Source organism: Homo sapiens, chromosome 2 (assembly GCF_000001405.40).
Source record: "Homo sapiens chromosome 2, GRCh38.p14 Primary Assembly".
In the NCBI taxonomy this organism is placed as follows: domain Eukaryota; kingdom Metazoa; phylum Chordata; class Mammalia; order Primates; family Hominidae; genus Homo; species Homo sapiens.
Window position 1 is genome coordinate 151,810,379 of NC_000002.12, and position 19,126 is coordinate 151,829,504.

At 39.7% G+C, this 19,126-nt stretch overlaps 1 protein-coding gene across 3 annotated transcripts in view, besides 4 other annotated features; it reads right to left on the bottom strand.

The window, feature by feature from the left end:
* The window catches only part of ARL5A (ARF like GTPase 5A), a 29,625-nt gene extending 11,582 nt beyond the window's left edge, over nucleotides 1-18,043 (bottom strand). Inside the window, exons 1-4 of one of the 3 annotated variants that reach the window (NM_177985.3) lie at nucleotides 18,011-18,043; nucleotides 4,761-4,821; nucleotides 3,791-3,938; nucleotides 1,979-2,062 (exon numbers count right to left, since the gene is read on the bottom strand). In NM_177985.3, coding sequence (NP_817114.2) covers nucleotides 1,979-2,062; nucleotides 3,791-3,934 — 228 coding nt within the window. In that variant the 5' untranslated portion in view covers nucleotides 3,935-3,938; nucleotides 4,761-4,821; nucleotides 18,011-18,043. Of the gene's footprint in view, nucleotides 1-1,978; nucleotides 2,063-3,790; nucleotides 3,939-4,760; nucleotides 4,822-17,752 lie in introns of all 3 variants that reach the window. The other 2 variants (NM_001037174.2, NM_012097.4) reach the window with 2 other exon arrangements.
* Nucleotides 13,445-13,504: an enhancer, noted in NCBI's record as "active region_16639". NCBI's record gives its function as "activates an Ori minimal core promoter by ATAC-STARR-seq in GM12878 lymphoblastoid cells {active_cell/tissue: GM12878}" and the evidence as "EXISTENCE:reporter gene assay evidence [ECO:0000049][PMID:35858748]".
* Nucleotides 17,659-17,708: a silencer, noted in NCBI's record as "silent region_12008". NCBI's record gives its function as "represses an Ori minimal core promoter by ATAC-STARR-seq in GM12878 lymphoblastoid cells {active_cell/tissue: GM12878}" and the evidence as "EXISTENCE:reporter gene assay evidence [ECO:0000049][PMID:35858748]".
* Nucleotides 17,759-18,268: a silencer, noted in NCBI's record as "silent region_12009". NCBI's record gives its function as "represses an Ori minimal core promoter by ATAC-STARR-seq in GM12878 lymphoblastoid cells {active_cell/tissue: GM12878}" and the evidence as "EXISTENCE:reporter gene assay evidence [ECO:0000049][PMID:35858748]".
* Nucleotides 18,319-18,368: an enhancer, noted in NCBI's record as "active region_16640". NCBI's record gives its function as "activates an Ori minimal core promoter by ATAC-STARR-seq in GM12878 lymphoblastoid cells {active_cell/tissue: GM12878}" and the evidence as "EXISTENCE:reporter gene assay evidence [ECO:0000049][PMID:35858748]".

A 19,126-nucleotide genomic window follows, 5' to 3' on the forward strand; every position in this document is an offset into this window, starting at 1 on the left:
CATTCTCACTCTTTGATCCATTTGTCTCTCTGCAGAATTTTGCCTGTTTGGCTCTTCTTGACCCTACTGAGTACCTTGCTCAAACTCCCAACTTCATCTGTAATTCCTTTCTTCTCTGGTCATCTCCTCATTCAGTCTCCTTTCACTTTCCAACTAGGCCCTACTTAGGTCTTCTTTTTACTTCTGCTAATAAAGAGTCTGAATGAGAATACTCAAGTTCAAAACCTGGCTCTTAAAAAGCTAGTCAAGTCACATAACCTTTCTGGGCCCCAGTGTAGTCACCCATAACAGATAACGTTAAGTGACCTATGTAAGTTAATGCCCCCAGCTAGTAAAAATCAAAGACTTTGAACCCTACTACTGGGCTCTTCATATAGTGATCCTGCTGCATATTGGCCAATTAGAGTAAAAATCAGATAGGGAGACTACCTGTCAACAAAGTAAAAGATATAGTCCAGAGACAAATAACATTTGTATCAGTTTTTCTTTTTCCAAAGTCTTCATAAAACCACCCTTTGGAATAAACTGAAAAATGCTGCATTTTTGCAAAATAGGAATTTGAAAAGAAAAAAAAACAAACAAAAAAAAGCCTTTGTCTTCTGCCTCTTTTACGGCTTATTGCTTGTATCCCAACTAGCAATGAATCTGGCGAATGAACACAGAATGGCAAGACGTATTTCTGTAAATCTCCAGGAGGTTTAAACACAGCTGCTGGAATTAGAGTCCAAAATAGGAAAAGGTGCATCTTGGTGGTCATAAGGAAATGAGGAACCTCAATTTACAAAACTACTTTACTAGCTTAGGTTCCCTAAAGCCCTGAAAGGTTGCCTGAAATACACAAAATTCTTAAAGCAAATCTCAAAAGCAAATCATCAAATCAATAACAAAATTAACATAAAACTTCACTACAAAGATATCCGTGTTTTCCTAAGCTTTGCAAAAAATTCCACTGAAATAAAAAACTCTATATATCTAAATATTAACTTTTCTATTCCTATCTATAAATGAGTTGAGAAAGTAGCATCTGCAATAAGATATCCAAAAATAATCAATTTTACTAAATACTATATAAACAGTATAATGTTATAGTTATCAAGTTGACTATATTATTCAGTTTTTTAAATTTATGTTACCGTAATATTTTTCTATTTAAAAAATTTTAATTTTTAAATCTATTTTTATTTCTACTTATTTATTTTTAATTTTATTTTTTGAGACAAGGTCTCACTCTGTCACTCAGGCTGAAGTGCAGTGGCAAGAACAGCTCACTGTAGCCTTGACCTCCTGGGCTCAAGCGATCTACTCGCCTCAGTCTCACGAGTAGCTGGGACTACAGGTGCATGCCACCACACCTGGCTAATTTTGTTTATTTTTCGTAGAGACAGGGTCTTGCCATGTTGCTCAGCTGGTCTTGAACTCTTGGGCTCAAGCGATCCCCCCACCTCAGTCTCCTAAAGTGCTGTGATTACAGGAGTGAGCCACTGTGCCTGGCAGGTTATTTTTCAAGGACTAAGAAAATGTGGCTAGTCATCTAGTTTTGTTTAGTCAAAGGGACAATATCAGAGAAACCTAACAGCAATTACATTTAAATATTAGTCTGCTGAGTAACAATCAAGAATTGCTAAGCACCCAGGTACTTTAAAATCTCATTTCCAATGATAATCCTCTGTATAATTAATCTATTCAAAATGCAAAATGAAAGCCACTTATAGAAATTACTTTTGCCCAGGAAAATTGTGAAACCAAATGTACCTAGGATAAGTGAAATAAAGTTCTGCAACTTACTCCATAATCTTTCTGCTGCTTCTGGATACACTTCCAAACTGGGAGATGTCAGAGTAATTGAGCAGTGTGGCCCGCAAATAACTAATTATTTTTAAAAATTTGAAATTGATAGCACCCTCATGAGAAACTAGAAAACAAAGTATCGATTCCCATACCCTTCCCCATATCTAATGTAAAAAGACTACTTACTTACCTCATGCGCTAACATTTTATAGAGTTCTTCTCTAGTTACAGAAATCCTCTCTCTGTCTGTACTGTCCACAACAACTATTACAAACTAAAATAATTACAAAAAAATTATTAGTGATTATACAATTTGGTATCTGTAAAATTTATAATGTGTTTATTTGACATACAGGCTATTAATATCAAGAAATTGGAATCTTATGGTATTGTTGGAAAATCAGAGCTACCTATACATTGTGAAGCCAAAAGGTCTGATCGATTTTAATATATTTACTAATTTTTAAGAGAAAAGAGAATATGATATTAACATTCTAACTAATATATATAACGCATGTCTGTTTTCTAAACTAGTATCTTGAATGCTAATGGACCTATATCTATCTATTTGCACTACAAATCAACAAGAAAAACATGCAATATGATCCTGAATTTATTACTTCCAGGTAGATATTATTTATTAATATCAATCTGAACACCTAAAAGGGCACGGGTATGGGAGTAAAGTAATGTGACAAGATAAAGAAATCAATTAAAAAAAAATTCAACCAACTGAAAGAATAAATCTCTATCTAAAAACAAGCTCTCTTCCTTACATAAGTATCGCCTGCTACCTGCAAGCACAACCCCTTCATAAACTGATGATGAGACTGGTATCAGAAGGTGCGATGAAAGACTTGTGATTGTTGTGCAGGACTGAGCTCCACCCCAGCTCTTCCTCAACTCCGTGAGCACCCAAAAGCAAGAGATCAGCAGGAACAGATGGAGATTTAACTTACTTACTTTATGATAACATTTATGATGCCCAAGTTGGTTCTGACTGCCTATTAGTAACATGCACTATTTATTTTTGGGACCTAGATCTTAATTTTTAAATAAATTATTATGATTTTCTGGATCTTTTCAATTATTCAGACTTCATCAACCAAAAGGCAGATGTATGAGAGAACTGCTACTTTACCTCTCCTCTCACTTGACAGCTTACTGATAGGTGGCTTTATCACTGTAAGGCCCATTTTATTCCAAGGTATTTTAATAAAACTGTTAATTTTCAGGCTGTTGGCATGAATTTGAAACCTATAGCATATGTATACAGTAGCATATATACCTTTATAATCATACATAACTTCCCTTATTAAAAAATGATTAAATGCCTAATGCAGTGTTAGGAAATCAAGTTGTCAGATACACTTAATGGTTTCTTAATGACTTAAAAGTCAGCTTTATATACTTATAAACCATGCTTTATTAACTTGTAATAATGAACACTACAAAAACAACGGTCAGTCTTTTAATTCACAGGTCTATGCAATGAAGCACTCAAATGTCAAAGGTCTGAAATTTCCTTTGGGAAATAATGTGTAAATAAAAAGATATGACTATGTCTAAAATGCCTTATAATCAAAAGAAAAACAATTATTTAATGTGCAATTGTGTTTTGTAAAAGAAAATAGTAAAACTGGCTAGGATTCAAACCATCAAAACCCTCTCATTTGGTGAGCTAAACTCAGTCAAACATAAATAGAGAGAAATGAAATTATAAACTATGAGATGGAAGTCATTAAAAAAAACTATTAAAGACAAGTTCTGAGATCAATACACAATCAGAACATAATTAACCACCAATTCTCCCTATAGAGGTTCAATGATAGTGGACATATTGAACAATGACCTTGGAATAGGAAATCAGATTTTACTCTGCTTAAACTCTCTATGTATTAACATACTGTGATATTTCAAAAAGATTAACTATAAGGACTCAAATCTAGATGTTTTCCAAGCATTCTGTTTATAGAATTTTAAATATTGTAAGAAACATTACCTCTGTGTTAGTATAGTAAGTGTTCCAGGAAGAACGAAGAGATTCTTGGCCACCAATATCCCACATTAGGAAACGTGTATTATTAATCACTATCTCTTCTACATTACTTCCTATTGTAGGAGATGTATGTACAACTTCATTCATAGAACTGGGGAAAAAAGTTTATATACATTACAATTAGCAAGGAAGCTAACTTGCTTGAACAATTTTTTAATCAAGGACAAATCAGCATGACCTCCTTTTATAATTTATACCTAAATATCTTTTTCCCACTAGTTTACAACATGAGTGAGGGTTTAAACAGGGCTGGAACTAGGTCGTAGGCTATCTGGCATATACTAGGTCATTCCAGGAAACTTTATAGTTTCTACTTTATAGTTTTCTACTTTCTTTTTTTTAATGTTACCCAGGCCGGAGTGTAGTGGTGTGATCATACATAATCAGTGGCATGAGGTTCACTGCAGCCTTGACCTCCTGAATAGGATCAAGCAATCTTCCCACCTCAGTCTCCTGAGTAGCTGGAACTACAGGTGTGCACCACTACATCCAGCTAATTTTAAAATATATATATATTCATATATATCTTATAAAGAGATGGCATCTCACTATGTGACCCAAGCGGTTTCTCAAAGTCCTGGCTTTAAGCGATCCTCCCACCTCTGCCACCCAAAGTGTTGGGATAAAGGCATGAGGCACCGCACCCGGCCATATTTTTCTACTTTCTACAAACAAAAGAGCTTTAGCACAAAACAAGTGGACAACTCAATGCCAACTATATGCTCAATATCATATAAATTTCTTGCTTTCTACTAACTATTGCTGAGATCTGGCTCCAGGTTTATAGCCAACCTGCTTTCTTACAGGGTAACTTAGGTTTCATGTAATTTCTTACTGCATTCATTGATCGACTATCACCCAGGCCAAAAAAGTAACTAGAAATAAAATAATTTTTAAAATAGTTAATACTTACAATTGGTAAAGAATGGTAGTTTTCCCTGCATTATCCAGCCCAACAATGATAACTTTGTGCTCTGAAATAGAGAAAACACCAGTGATTTTTTTTCAAAAAAGGAAAAAAAAAGATTAATTATAGGAAAAAATATACTCTGTATCTCACCCTTCTATCTATGGCATAATTCAGTGCATGGCACTTTATACTTTCTCAGAAGTCAAAAGAACATCCTAGCAAGACCAGCAGAAGTGTGCCATTATACTCACCTTCCCCATCGCCATTATTCTAGAGACAACTCTCATCTTTCCAACCACCTCTCTAGGAAGCCATGGCACTACATTTCCTCTATTCCTAGGCAAGCCTACTCTCAGTAAAGTAGACCAAACATAATCACAATTTACAAATGACTTAAAGTATAAATGTTTCACATTGGATTACATCAATGAGGTTCTAACTGGAACTTAAGGCATCAACTGGGTGCATGTGTGTGGAGTGGAGTGAATGGGAAGGAAAAAGGTCAGTTTTTTAAATGGGTAATCGTAAATTATGAGTACCTTAAAACCACAGGGCCACTGTAACATGAAAAACAAATCTAAGAACCTATGGCTATGGTGGCAGCGACTCCCTCCCCCCATTTGGCTTCTGTGGCACCACTTTCTCCAAGTTTTCTTCCTGTCTCTAGTCATTTATTTTTTTTCAATGACTCCTCTTCCTTGAGTCTTCTCTCAGACATTCACGTTCCCCAGATGTTTTCTTGCACCCTCTTCACATTTCAGCCAGGCATTTGTAAGACCCATCTATTTCCAGCCTGTCCGAAAGCAATTCCCAAAGACAGCACAGCATGTGGTAGAAGCTAGTGTCCAAGATGGCCTCTGGATAGTCATGCCCTTACGTAGCCGCCTCCTCTTGAATCTGGGGTGGCCCTGTGACTTACTTTTAACCCACAGATGCAGCAGAAATGACCAGACGTGATTTCTGAGCCTAAATCATCAGAAACATTGCAGTTGCTGCCTGGCTGTCTTGGACAAGTCCTCCTAGGGTAAGTCAGATACTATACAGCAAGCCCAAGACTGCTGTGCAATTTAATGAGTAAGCCCAAGTTGATCATGTGGTGAGACCCTGTTGAAAGGGATGACCAGTCAGCCCCTATCTCTTCCAGCCATTCTAGCTGAGATGATAGACAGACAAATAAAGAAGCCATCTTGGACGTGCAGCCTGGTTGAACCTACAGAGTACTTTAATTTTAGCTGCTATCTGACTGCAACCAAAGGAGACTCCCCAAGGTAGAACTTCCTAGCTGAGCTTAGTCGACGCGTAAGAAACATGAAAAATAATAAATCATTGCTTTAAGTCATAAAATTAAAGAATAGCTTATTACACAGAAACAGATAACTGAAGGAGATATTAATGGCATTATATGACCTTGAGCAAATGACTTTTATTATTTCTCTGACCTTAAGTTTCTTCATTGTAAGATAGGGGAAATACCACCTATCACTCAGGGTTGTTTAACAATTAAAATAGCACACAGCAGTGCCTAGCACTGAAGAGGAGAGAGTTCTTAACCTGTTTTGCTAGCCCAGAAAAAGATAAAAATTTACTAGAAACTGTACTTCAAAGTTTGAATTTTGATCTTTTCCAAGGCTAGTGATATCTAGTACAACACTCTCAAGACACTGGGCAGTAGCAATAAGCTGCAGCTCCCAGTCGGCCATTCAATAACGAGGGTAAACAACCAATACTGCATAATAGTATACACTGTGCTATCAAATGGTTTTGCCCTACTGGAGGCTAATGTCTGTGTATTGAGCACATTTAAGGTAGGCTAGGCTAAGCTATGATGTTCAGCAGGTTAGGTGTAATAAATGTGTTTTGACTTAAGTTACTTTCAACTTACAACAAGTTTATTGGCACATAACTACATCACAAGTTGAAGGGCATCTATAAACTAAAGTTCAAGTCACTCTCCCTACACAAGCTGCACATATGTTCACAGCAAACATTTCTCTACAGCTACTCATGGTATCACTAAATGTCGGAATTATCCTAATTCTCCATTTAGGGAATTAGACCAATCCTTTAAAGTCTAGCTTTCCATGTAGAATCACTTTCTCCTGCTTTCCCACACTACCTCTACTCTAGCACTTATCCTAATTATTTACATGTGCACTAATCTCCGCTTAATGAGGCATCTTCAACTGTATAGAATACATATTAATCATCTTTACATTTCTAGTGACTACAACTATTCCTGGCATAAAGTAGGTACTCAATAAATGTTGAATTAATATTCATTCTATAAGTAATAAATGTTGAGGATTATAACACCTCAGAGTAAGATCTTTATAATTCAAATGGTAGATGTTTTCCATATAATTGCCACTTACCAGAGGAAATTCCTAATGATCTATAGGCACCTCCTATTATACAAAAATAGGAAGATCAAGTAAATAAAACATTTTAATACAATCCATTTTATCCAGTCATCTATTTCTTTGTAAGAAAGAGCAGGCAGCTTAGAACCACTAGGGTCCTTAAGTGACATGACCACCTGCCCCTTTTATGAGTTATTAAGAATAATTTAAAGACCTAGGGCCCAGGCCAGGTGTGGTGGCTCATGCCTATAATCCCAGCACTTTGGGAGGCTGAGGCCGTCGGGTGGATCACCTGAGGTCAGGAGTTCAAGACCAACATGACCAACATGGTAAAACTCCATCTCTACTAAAAATACAAAATTAGCTGGGCGTGGTGGCACATACCTGCAATCCCAGCTACTTGGGAGGCTGAGGCAGAAAAATCGCTTGAACCCAGGAGGCGGAGAGTTGCAGTGAGCCAAGATCATGCCATTACACTCCAGCCTGGGCAACAAGAGCGAAACCCCGTCTGTGGTCTTTAGTCTCCCAGATCCACAAACAATTCTGCTACTATCCCAGAATAGACAGGACTCAGAGAGAGCAATTCATGGAAATGACTAAGACATAAATAAGAACAGCAAATGAGTAACATACAATAAGATCAAATGTTGAAAAATGAATGACAAGTAACAAGTCTATCCCTGAGGATATGTTACATGATGGCTGAATTAAAATCAGATGATTACTTGGGGAGCATGGAATCCCAACCACAAGGAGTGTTACAGGCTGCAATGACTGATGTGAATCCTTTCTTTTTTTTTGAGACAGGGTCTCACTCTTGCTGCCCAGGCTGGATTGCAGTATCACAATCACGGCTCACTGTTGCCTCAACCTCCCAGGCTCAAGTGATCCACCCACCTCACCCTCCTGAGTAGCTGAGACCACAGGTGTGCACCACCACGCCTGGATATTTTGTTTCTTTTGTAGAGATGGGATGTCCCTGTGTTTCCCAGGCCGGTCTCAAACTCCTGGGCTCAAGCAATCCTCCCGCCTCAGCCTCAAAAAGTGCTAGGATTACAGGTGCAAGCCACTGTACCTGGTCTGAATTCATCTTTAGAGCAAGGCCATGCCTGCATGAGGGCCAGGTAATCGAGTCCTTGGGACAAGGTACCTTTGCACCTAGAAAGTTTTTAAATAGCATGGCAATTCTGCCTAACTCCATTTTTCTATGTCCCAAAATTAAGCATTCCTTTTTTGATGATGTAACTCCTCTTCAGTTTTATTAATACACGCACTCATAAACATTTTTAACACAACTAGAATTCATTATCAGGCTATACTCTGATCTCTGACTTGGATAAGAGTTTTTAGCTTCCCAGGAGAATACTGATTTTTAATCACAGCATTCTCAAAATGTCAGCTTATTTTTAAGTTACGGGAATATATCCCGCCCCCGCCTCCACCCCATTCCCCCAATGTATTAGCTACGGGGCAGAATTTAGATGGGCTTCTCAATACTTGGGAAGAAAATACAATTACTCTGACCAATGAAATACCAGAGAAAATACAACTACTTTGACCCTAAAAACAGTACAAAATTAGCAGGAAAAGTCCAAAAGGAAACAAAAACATAGGCAAGAATCTATAATATATAACAATAAAGAATGACTAAAAAATGTGTATATGTATAAATAATGTACACAGAGACAACGAAGTAAAAAACAGTACTCTCTCAGTTTCTTACAAGGGCCGTAATCAGCTAAGGAGGTTAAACACTTATTCCAACCATGTTACCATTTTTTCAAAATAGTTTGCTACGGTTCTTTTATAATTGCTTTCAGAGCCTGAGGTACACCATTTTGAATATTGCCACCTAATGGTGGCAAATCTTTTAAACTCTGAAGATGAACTTGACTTTAAAGTGGGAGATGAGCCACCTCGTATCATCTTGGTCATAAGGTAAAAGGTATCTAAAATGAGTGCCATTTTTTTTTTGTTAAGTGAAATATGAAGAATTATTTAAAAATTTGTTTCCAAAGAACTTCTGAGTTTCAAAGAATAGATTGAATAATAGTAGGACATACCAGTGGAAAAACTATATAGCCTCCTAAAATGATAGCTTTAAAGTAAAACCTCATCTGGCTTTAGTACAGGTATTTTTTTAAGTGGTCTCCTTACTTCAGCCATGTCCTTAGGACTTGGTTACTATGTCCTAATTCCAAACCTGGTGCTTTTCTAACAGTTCTGTTAGGAAAAACTAGCTAGGCAAAAACTACTGAAAAAAAAAAAAAGACTCTTAGGCCAGGCATGGTGGCTCACACCTGTAATCCCAGCACTTTGGGAGGCCGAGGCAGGTGGATCACAAAGTCAGGAGTTCAAGACCAGCCTGGCCAAGATGGTGAAACCCCATCTCTACTAAAAATACAAAAAAATTAGCCTGGCATGGTGGCGTGAGCCTATAGTCCCAGCTACTTGGGAGGCTAAGGTAGACGAATTGCTTGAACCTGGGAGGCAGAGGTAAAATTCTTTATCATACCTGGCCACTAGCTGAACATGATCACCAAGGTAAAACTGCTGTGAACAAAACCATGTGCTATAACACACAGACAAGTCTAAGATAAAGCAGATGGCAGAAATTACTCATTCCAGGATTTCATCTTATAACACAACTTAGTTGCCTACTGAGGAAAGGAAAAGGTTAACAGTTTCAAGATGCATCATCTTTTACAACCACTGTATGGAATGAACTAGAGTATCAATAAGCTGAAATTAGATAACCTATCCTGTGGTGGATTAGGATTTAAACTGCTTTAAATCTTTCTTTAACAGTGCCTAGAAATAAAGAAGGCACACTGGAGAGAGAAGGTATAGTAGATGATACAGGGTAGGAATCCACATGTCTGGGCCAGGCACAGTGGCTCACGCCTGTAATCCCAGCACTTTGGGGGGCTGAGGCGGGTGGATCACTTGAGGTCAGGAGTCCAAAACCAGCTTGGCCAACATGGCGAAACCCCGTCTCTACTAAAAATTCAAAAATTAGCTGGGTGTGGTGGCACACACTTGTGGTCCCAGCTACTTGGGAGGCTGAGGCATGAGAATCAGTTGAACCTGGGAGTCAGAGGTTGCAGTGAGCCAAGATTGTGTCACTGCACTCCAGCCTGGGCGACAGAGTGAGATCCTGTCTCCAAAAAAAAAAAAAAAAAAAAAAAAACAGAATCCATATGTCTGGCATGGTGGAAAATGTTAATAGAGAAAAGCGTGTCGGAGACAGTGATAAGAAAGAAATGAAGTGGCTAGCCATGGAATTTGGGCCGGGAAAGAAATCCAGTCCTGCCCTACAAGGTTAAGAATGTCCGGAAGTCCTAGCAGGTGAAAGGTTAGGTTATTGTTAGGGTAGAAGGAAAGATGAAAGGTAAAATGGCTATGAACAAGAGGAGAGAAATTAGCCAAGGTCTGAAGCTTTGGAGGACCCATAACCTTCTGTCTGCACCTGAAAGTGAATAACTAAATCCAGGTAAGATCATTAGATAAACATGATGAAAAAGGATGAGTGTGACAAAGCTAGCTAAGCCTTAGCCCAAATCTTCCCCTAACTCTTCTTGACCTACGTACTAAAACTTAGAAAAGCTGCTCTACTCAGTCTCTAGAACATGTCATAAACTTTCCAATCATTTAACTTTGCTCATGCCATTCTCCACACTACAATCTTACTCTTCTGCCTACCTATTTTACAAATTCAATGAATTCCTATATACTTACAAATGCATAAATATGCAACCATGCCCCCAAACTCTTAAGACCTAAGCAGATTTCTAAAGTCAATCAAGGGAAACCAAACTAATATATTTGAACATATCATATTCTTACCAAATGGTTAAAATACTTCAAAAACAAAAAGGAGGAAAGAAACTCCAATCAAACATAAGCAGAACCTGGAAAATATCCAAAAAAACCACATGTAGTCATGTGGTCTGAGATCTCTGGAGGGCCATTCCAATGAAGAATCCATGATCCAGAGGATCTTTACCTCCTTACTCCACCCAAACACCTACAAACTACATTCATTACAAAGTTCTAGTTGCTTCCTCCCAAGACGTAGCTCTATTTGAGTTTTTTTGTATTTTCACAATAAAGCACCAATGACTTTTTTGAGACGCAGTCTCGCTGTTGCCCAGGCTAGAGTGCAGTGGTGTGAGCTTGGCTCAATGAAACCTCTACCTCCCAGGTTCAAACGATTCTCCTCCTGCCTCAGCCTCTCAAGCAGCTGGGACTACAGGCAGGCACTACCATGCCCGGCTTTCTTTTTTTTTTTTTCTTTTTTTTTTTTTTTTTTGAGACGGAGTCTCGCCGTATGCCCAGCTAATTTTTTAATTTATTTATATTTATTTATTTAGAGATGGAGTCTCGCCCTGTCGCCCAGGCTGGAGTGCAATGGCATGATCTCGGCTCACTGCAACCTCTGCCTCCCAGGTTCAAGGGATTCTCCTGCCTCAGCCTCCCGAGTAGCTGGAACTACAGGTGCGCACCACCACGCCCAGCTAATTTTTGTATTTTTAGTAGAGACAGGATTTCACCATATTGGCCAGGCTGGTCTTGAACTCCTGACCTCATGATCCACCTGCCTCGGCCTGCCAAAGTGCTGGGATTACAGGTGTGAACCACCTGCACGTGAATCATCAGAAGTTTACTGTGCCTGGCCTAATTTTTGTATTTTTAGTAGAGATAGGGGTTTTGCCATGTTGGCCAAGCTGGTCTTGAACTCCTGACCTCAGGTGATCCATCTGCCTTGGCCTCCCAAAGTGCTGGGATTACAGGCATGAGCCACTGCGTCCCGGCCACCAATGACCATTTTTAATAGCTTCCTAAATCTAAGACATAGCATGTGGGTCACAATGAGAACTATAAAATTAAGACCAAACTGTGCAATGGGCTCAAAGACAAACGTGTCATCTCAATAATAGGGTCAGATTAGTCACAAAGTTTTTAATAGTAGATCAATTTCCTCTGAACATCCTTACTCTCACCACCACAGCCTGTTCCTTTCATTAGCAAGATGGAAAAGCATCTATACAAAATGTAAATTTGTAGCCAAAAAGTGCTATAATGCACTTCGAAATAAAGACTTCATAGAATCCCAATATGCCTACTACAAGAATGTTATTGTGGACAAATGCAATAAAACTTTCAGCCATTCCAACTCTTTGATGCACAAGAATCATCAGAAGTTTACTGCTTAGTATGATTTTTCTTTTAGACTATGTCACAGCATTCCTGTATTTACTCAAATAAGCCACAACAACTGCACTGTTCTAATGCTTTGATGGAACTGTGAGTTACCAATTAGGCTTTAACATACCAATCAATACTTTACTGTTTTGTCATGAAAATTGCTTCTTGTTTCCCTTTTCCTTCATTTCCTTTTGACACAGGCAGTCTACCAGTTCCATTCATTGCCAGTTTTTAAAAGTTAATATATATTCCCCCAACTCATCAGTCAATAAATTAAGCATAATAATAATTGTTATTGTAGAGAATTACTATCTCTGTGAATCATACAACATCAGAAAACACAAAAACACCAGGGCAAATAAATGGAGAGTCCTCTTGATTCATCATTTTTACCTCATATCTGAACTATCACTAAGCCCTATTAATTCTATGTCTCTCAGAGCAAAAAATTCCATTTGTCATATTCACTATAGTTCTCTTAGTCCATAGGACAGCTCCTGGAATAAAGCATGAGCTTAATATTTTTCATGAATAAATAAATCAGATCTGGAAAATATAAAGGTTAGGAGAGAGATATCTGCTTAAGTCGTTTTGTATTAAAAGTTCAATTTTTAAAACTTAAAAGTCTTAACAATAAAAAGAAAGTTTGAAAATAAACTTGCTATTACAGTAATGGTAAATTAAGTTTCAGGGGAATAACCAAATTTTCTTTTGCACTATGAGGTTGCTGAAAAAAAAAAGCAATGATTACACATGGCAAAATTAGAGATCCAATCAGGAGGCAGAAATCACACAATAATTTGAACTTGGAAAGTTCAACATCAAAAAAATATTACAGGGGACTGGAGTAATGAGAGATTGGCTAAAAGATTATGGGAATGTCAAATTTAAGAAGCACTCACTATCCCTAGGGTTGAGATAAAGGTCCTCCCCCTCCCTCCAGACTTAAGATGCAGATCTCGTTGGAGGGCACAGATAGTGGCTCACTGAATGGCAGAGAAGTAGCTGTGGTGAGGTGCCAGTGGAACCTGCCCAAAAATCCTCCCTCTTCGGTGCTGAGGAAAACTGTTTATTGAGAGGTATTTCACTGGAGACCTTCCATTATGAAACCAACTAAGACGGGTACTAGGGGAAGCTGTTGGCTGCTGCTGACCACTATGCAGTACAAGAGCCAGGCCTTGGAGACGGTGTTCATGCTACAAGCAGAGCCCGTCAAGAAAGCACACTATAACTAAGTACAAACACCCTTTCCTCCTACAATGCCTCTCCAGTGCAGCCTACTGACAAAACTTAACATTTTGCCCAGTGGCAAAAGAAAAACGTTTAAAGGACCTAGCTCCACTTCCACAGAGCATGCAAAAAGGGTTTACAAATGGTCTCTGACTTGTGATGTTGTAAAAGCAACACACATTCAGTAGAAACCATACTTCGAGTACCCATGCAAAGATTCTGTTTTTCACTTTCAGTACAGTATTCAATAAATTACACGAGATATTCAACCTTTATTATAAAATAGGCTTTGGGTTAGATTTTGCCAACCTGTAAACTAACATAAATGTTCTGAGCACGTATAAAGCAAGCTAGGCTAAAGCCATGGTTTTCAGTAAGTCTGGCATATTAAACTCATTTTTTACTTACTGTATTTTCAATTATCTATCTATCACAAATTATCAACTATCACAAATTGAGGAGCATCTGTATTAGAAGCTAAGACACAGTCTACCCCTTGGCTACTCAGCTTCCATATGTACTCTTCTCTACACATTTAAACTCCCTAATAATAATAATAATAATAATAATAACAACAATAATAAGCCAGAAACAGAGGTGGCTTCCTCAGCATCAGGTTCCTGAAGCACAGGCAGCTTCTCCTGCACCCATTCATACTTATAATTCCTTTTCTAGCAACCAACCAAGAGAGCAATACAAGGCTATTAATGAGGAAATTCCACAACTTCTTTTATAGTTCACATCAGTCAGTTCTTTTTATCTGAGTCCTTCTTATACAAAGTCCTTCTTACACGAAGTTGTGTGCAAATGTGCGTGCGTGCATGTGTGTGTAGAACTAACTCTGGCACTAGATAATCTTGTTAAAATCCAGGTGTGTGTGCGTAGGAGAAATAACTCCGGCACTACGTAATCGTGGTTAAAATCCAGGTCTATCACTTTTACCTATAGTGCTTAAAGCAAGTTACCTGTTTCCGTACCCCTGTAAAATAAGGGGAATAATATCTACCTTGTAGGGTTGTTGTAAAGAGTAAATCAACTAAGTGAATATTAAATCAAACAACCTGTGTGAACCTTGCACAAGTGTTAACCACTATTATTTTACTTGTAGAGACAAAGTGAGTTAATTTCCTGTCTCCCAACACTACATGAAAGCTCCATAAAGGCAGTGGAATTTGTCTGTTTTGTTCCCTTATCCCACCATGTAGAACACTTCCTGGACTAAATAGGTGTTAAAATATTTGTTTATTGAGAACAAGTAAACCACTGATCACAAGCTCTTCTATAAAAAAAAGTTACTAATGGCAACTTTTCGAAGTTCTAAAGACAACTTAGAGATTAGCAACTGAAAAAGTTAATGGGGGGAGGAGGAGGGAGGGAAAAATGATGTCAATCTCTTCTTTAAGAGATTCCTTCAGGGTTTTAACTTGCCTGGCTCTGGCATATACCAGTTGCATGGCCTGGGGAAAAAAAATCATTCCACTTAAGCCTCAGTTTTCCCTTTTCAGGGGAAATAACTACTTCAAAAGATTGTTAAAACATAAAATAAAATAAAATAAAATGATTTAAATGACAGCATCTAGGATAAAGTTTGTACTCTACTGAATCTCAGTATCAACTAAATGTGACCTCTGGTTTTTCTAGTTCGAGCGGTATACAAATAGCTTTCACTGTGCACTCAATCTGAGCTTTAACTGAAAAAGCTGTTCTCGAGGGGTTTCAGAAACAGGAGATACTGCATAGTTTAAGTTTCATCAGATGGCAAATTCTGTAATCTCCCGAAACATACTTTCCAAGAGTTTCTATGAAAAGAAAGTAAGATTGCATTCTGAATCCACTGAAGGTAAAACAAGAGCATCCAACACATATCTAACTTATATATGTCCTATACAGAAAAAAAAAAAAACAACCCTGCTGGGCACCATGGCTCAGGCCTGTAATCCCAGCACTTTGGGAGCCCAAGGCGGGTGGATCACGAAGTCAAGAGATGGTGACCATTCTGGCCAACGTGGTGAAACCCCATCTCTACAAAAAATACAAAAATTAGCTGGGTGTGGTGGCACGCACCTGTAGTCCAGCCACTCGGGAGGCTGAGGCAGGAGAATCGCTTGAACCCAGGAGGCACAGGTTGCAGTGGGCCAAGATCACACCACTGCACTCCAGCCTGGTGACAGAGCAAGACTCCATCTCAAAAAAACAAAAACAAAAACAAAACCCAACAAATATCTGGCATTAGATTAAATGGTGGATATTCGGAAAAGTGACCCTATTGATAAGACAGCCACACTGTTTAGCAGAAAATAAATAATTTATTCACACTTTCACAATATTCATATCTAATTTTCTAGAACTTAACTTCATTAATTTCTCTATTAATTTCCGCCAAACTGCCATAAATGTCCCGTCAAAAATTACCACAAAATACAGGTTATAAAAACACTACTATTAGCAATTTGTAGTGATACCAGAGCACACACCCTTATTATTTACTACTCCAAGGAGCTGTTGGCAAAGTTCTCATTTATTCTTAACTTACAGAAACAAATAATTTTATCATTGACTCAAAATAGAAAGTGGTGATAACTCTTTTTCTGGCAGCACTAGAGCTCAATTCACAGTCTTGCTAAACCTCACAGCAGATGAAACACTAGCTTTGCTAAAAATAATACAAAATGATGGATGTTAAAACTAGAATAGATCTTATCTACTATAAGTACCATCAGTCTTACAGCAATGTACGTTTTAATATTTGCAATGTAGAAATAAAGTTTACAAGATTTGGAAGCTCCACAGATCCCTGGTGTTCTAGGTGAGAAAACCTAGACCAGAAAACCTGAGAGTTCAAGTGACTGCTTCCCACTCTCCTGCTCCCAACACTAACAGCCAGTCCAGTCAGAGACAGTGCTGATTAGAACTGATTTTCTCTACTTTATGAAAAATCCTCTTATCAGAAAAATTGATACTGCCCTTTCTTTCGGTATCACGTGACCTACACATCTGTGTGTGTGTGTGTGTGCGTAAAAGATACATTAGGGATCACAAGTTCTAGTTCTGCTTGCTTCCCCTAAGCTTCTTAAAAGAGCAGCTAGATCATGAAGGAGGAGGTGGTAGTAGTAGGTGTACATAATAGATGCCACCATTCACGTAAGTCTTTATTGGAAAACTGGGACGTGACACCATCAGCTTACACAACAGAAAAACACAAACTAAGTTCCTGACAGCGGAATGATGAACCACCCAACTTGAGTTAAAAAGAAACAAAAGTACACCACTGTATCTTAATAAGTATCCAGTCTTTGGGTTAAAATTGTATTCTCTTTCCCCAGTTTTAGTCATTTTGTAACAAATTTTAACAAGCCTGATAGGTATTTCATGGCCATGTCTGAAGTTGGCTGAACTTAAGCATCCCTATATAACACACTTTACACTTAGTAACTTGCTAGTTACCTATGGTTAACAAATGTTTCATATGGTATGTTTTTAAAACTTTCAGTGAAACACTTTAACATTTTTAACCCAGCAAAACAAACAAAAACTGTGTCTAATAACCCACACGAGTAGAAAAATGACCTTAAGCTTAACCTTAAACACAGATATAATAAGTAAAACAAATGGAGAGAAGTCCATCTCTATTCAGGAGGCAGAAGAACCCCCCCTGCCCCCAACACACACAAAGACGGGTGGCAGTGGAGGGCAGGCTCATAAACCAGAGGTGTAATGGACAAGTCGAGCGATTCCTCCCGTTTTCCGCATTCTGCAACCCTCGGTCGCTCAGTGGTGCGGTTAGGGCAGCAATCTATAACCTTCATTCCAGAAGACCCCAGCACTTCTATGTGGTGTCCAAACACAACTGGTGAGCAAAGAAAGGGCTGAAAGACAGGCCAGGCCGTGCTACTCAGGGACGTCGGACCTAGGGCAAGAAACCTTTACCACTCTCATTCGAAATCGGAGCAATGGGTCTATTACGGAAAAGACTTCTTAGGAAGGTCTCCTAAGACAAAGGGCTGCGAGTCAGGAACCATCCCCAAGCTCGGGAGCCGGGACCGAACCGTCCCGGGCCCGTATCCGCGCAGCCTGCACCCCGCGCTGAGCTGGCGCCCGACCGAGCCGCCCACATTCCGAAGTATTCGGAGACCCCCACCTAGCCGGCCCGAGCTGACCCTCTCCCCAACCCGTACGCCCGCGGACCGAGCTCCTCACCCTGGTGATTGAACAGTCTCCATATTCTAGTGAAGAGAATTCCCATTCTCGGGCAGCGGACCCCCCCCCTCCAGACACCCGGGCCGCCTGGCTTCCCCCGGCTCAGGCTGAGGGGGAGGAGAGAGACGCGCTGGAGCCTCCGCCTCTGCTGCTGCTCCCGCGCTGGTCGCGGGCCCGCTTCCAGGGAACCGGAGGGAGGCCGAAGCCCAGGCCGCCCTGCCGCGCGCAAGGCCCCGCCGCTGCCGCCGCGGCACTCGCCTGGCTCGCGGACATCGCCGCCGCGTTGTCTGCGACGAGCCTCGCGGGCCACCGTCCTCCCCCAGCTCCTCTCGGGCGGCTGCGGTGGCGACGACCACGCGGGCGGGGGAAGTGAAGGGGCGGGCCTGGAGGGACGTGAGTGCGCAGGCGCGCGGCCAGAGGGGCGGAGCGTAGGAAAGGGCGCCCGCCCTGTCCTCGCTTATTTGCATAACCAAGACTGCGGAAGGCGCAGGACTTTACCCTGGGACTGAGGCTGTGAAGACCGCAAGTTGGGGCAGATGGCTTCCGACTGCTTGCTGTTGCGTCCCCGAGTATTTATATTTCCCTCGAATCTTCTCCACTGCGCCATAATGTAAACATATAATTGAGTACCCCATGTCCATCCCCAACCCTTCACATACACTACACTTAAAGTTCCACGTCATGACTCTTTAAGACATTGTGTCCCCTGTGGGTCTTTGAGGGAAAAGTCTGCTGCCCTCTGACACTCAGCTGAAGTCAGTGGCCTTACCTAGATAGTCACCTTAAAGCCATTTTTGCACTTCAGGGCTCTTTTCTCTCCAATCTCTTAACTCTCACGTCAGTATTGCCCAAAACAACGATTTTGATCAAGTCACTACCCTGTTTAAAAACCTTTAGTGGCCACCAAAGCTCCATCCCTTTCTGTTCTCGTTAACCTTAGTAAAAAGGAAAATAAAGAAAAATTGGGAGACTTGTAGGAGCCATTTGAACTGCTTTGCACTCCCATCCCCAACAGCTGAATGAAATTAAGCAAAATCAGCAATAAACCGCACCTTCCCAACTCACTTCTCCTAACTACCCAGTATTTTACCTCAAAATATAGAAAAGTAATTTCGTTGACTTCTTTTGGGGCTTTATGGTTAAAAAGCCAAAGTTTAGAGGAGCCATACATGAAGGGAAGGAAAATCATAGTAATCCATATTAATTTATGTATTATCATGTCTGGATTTACTTAATATTCTGTACACTGTTTAGAAGAACAATGTAGTTTGTATAACCAATTTGCATTAACTCTGTAATATTTCCATTCTCGCACACCGTAGGTAATGCTTTGGTAGCTCTAAGACTTTTTCAGACTCCCACACAGATGTCAAC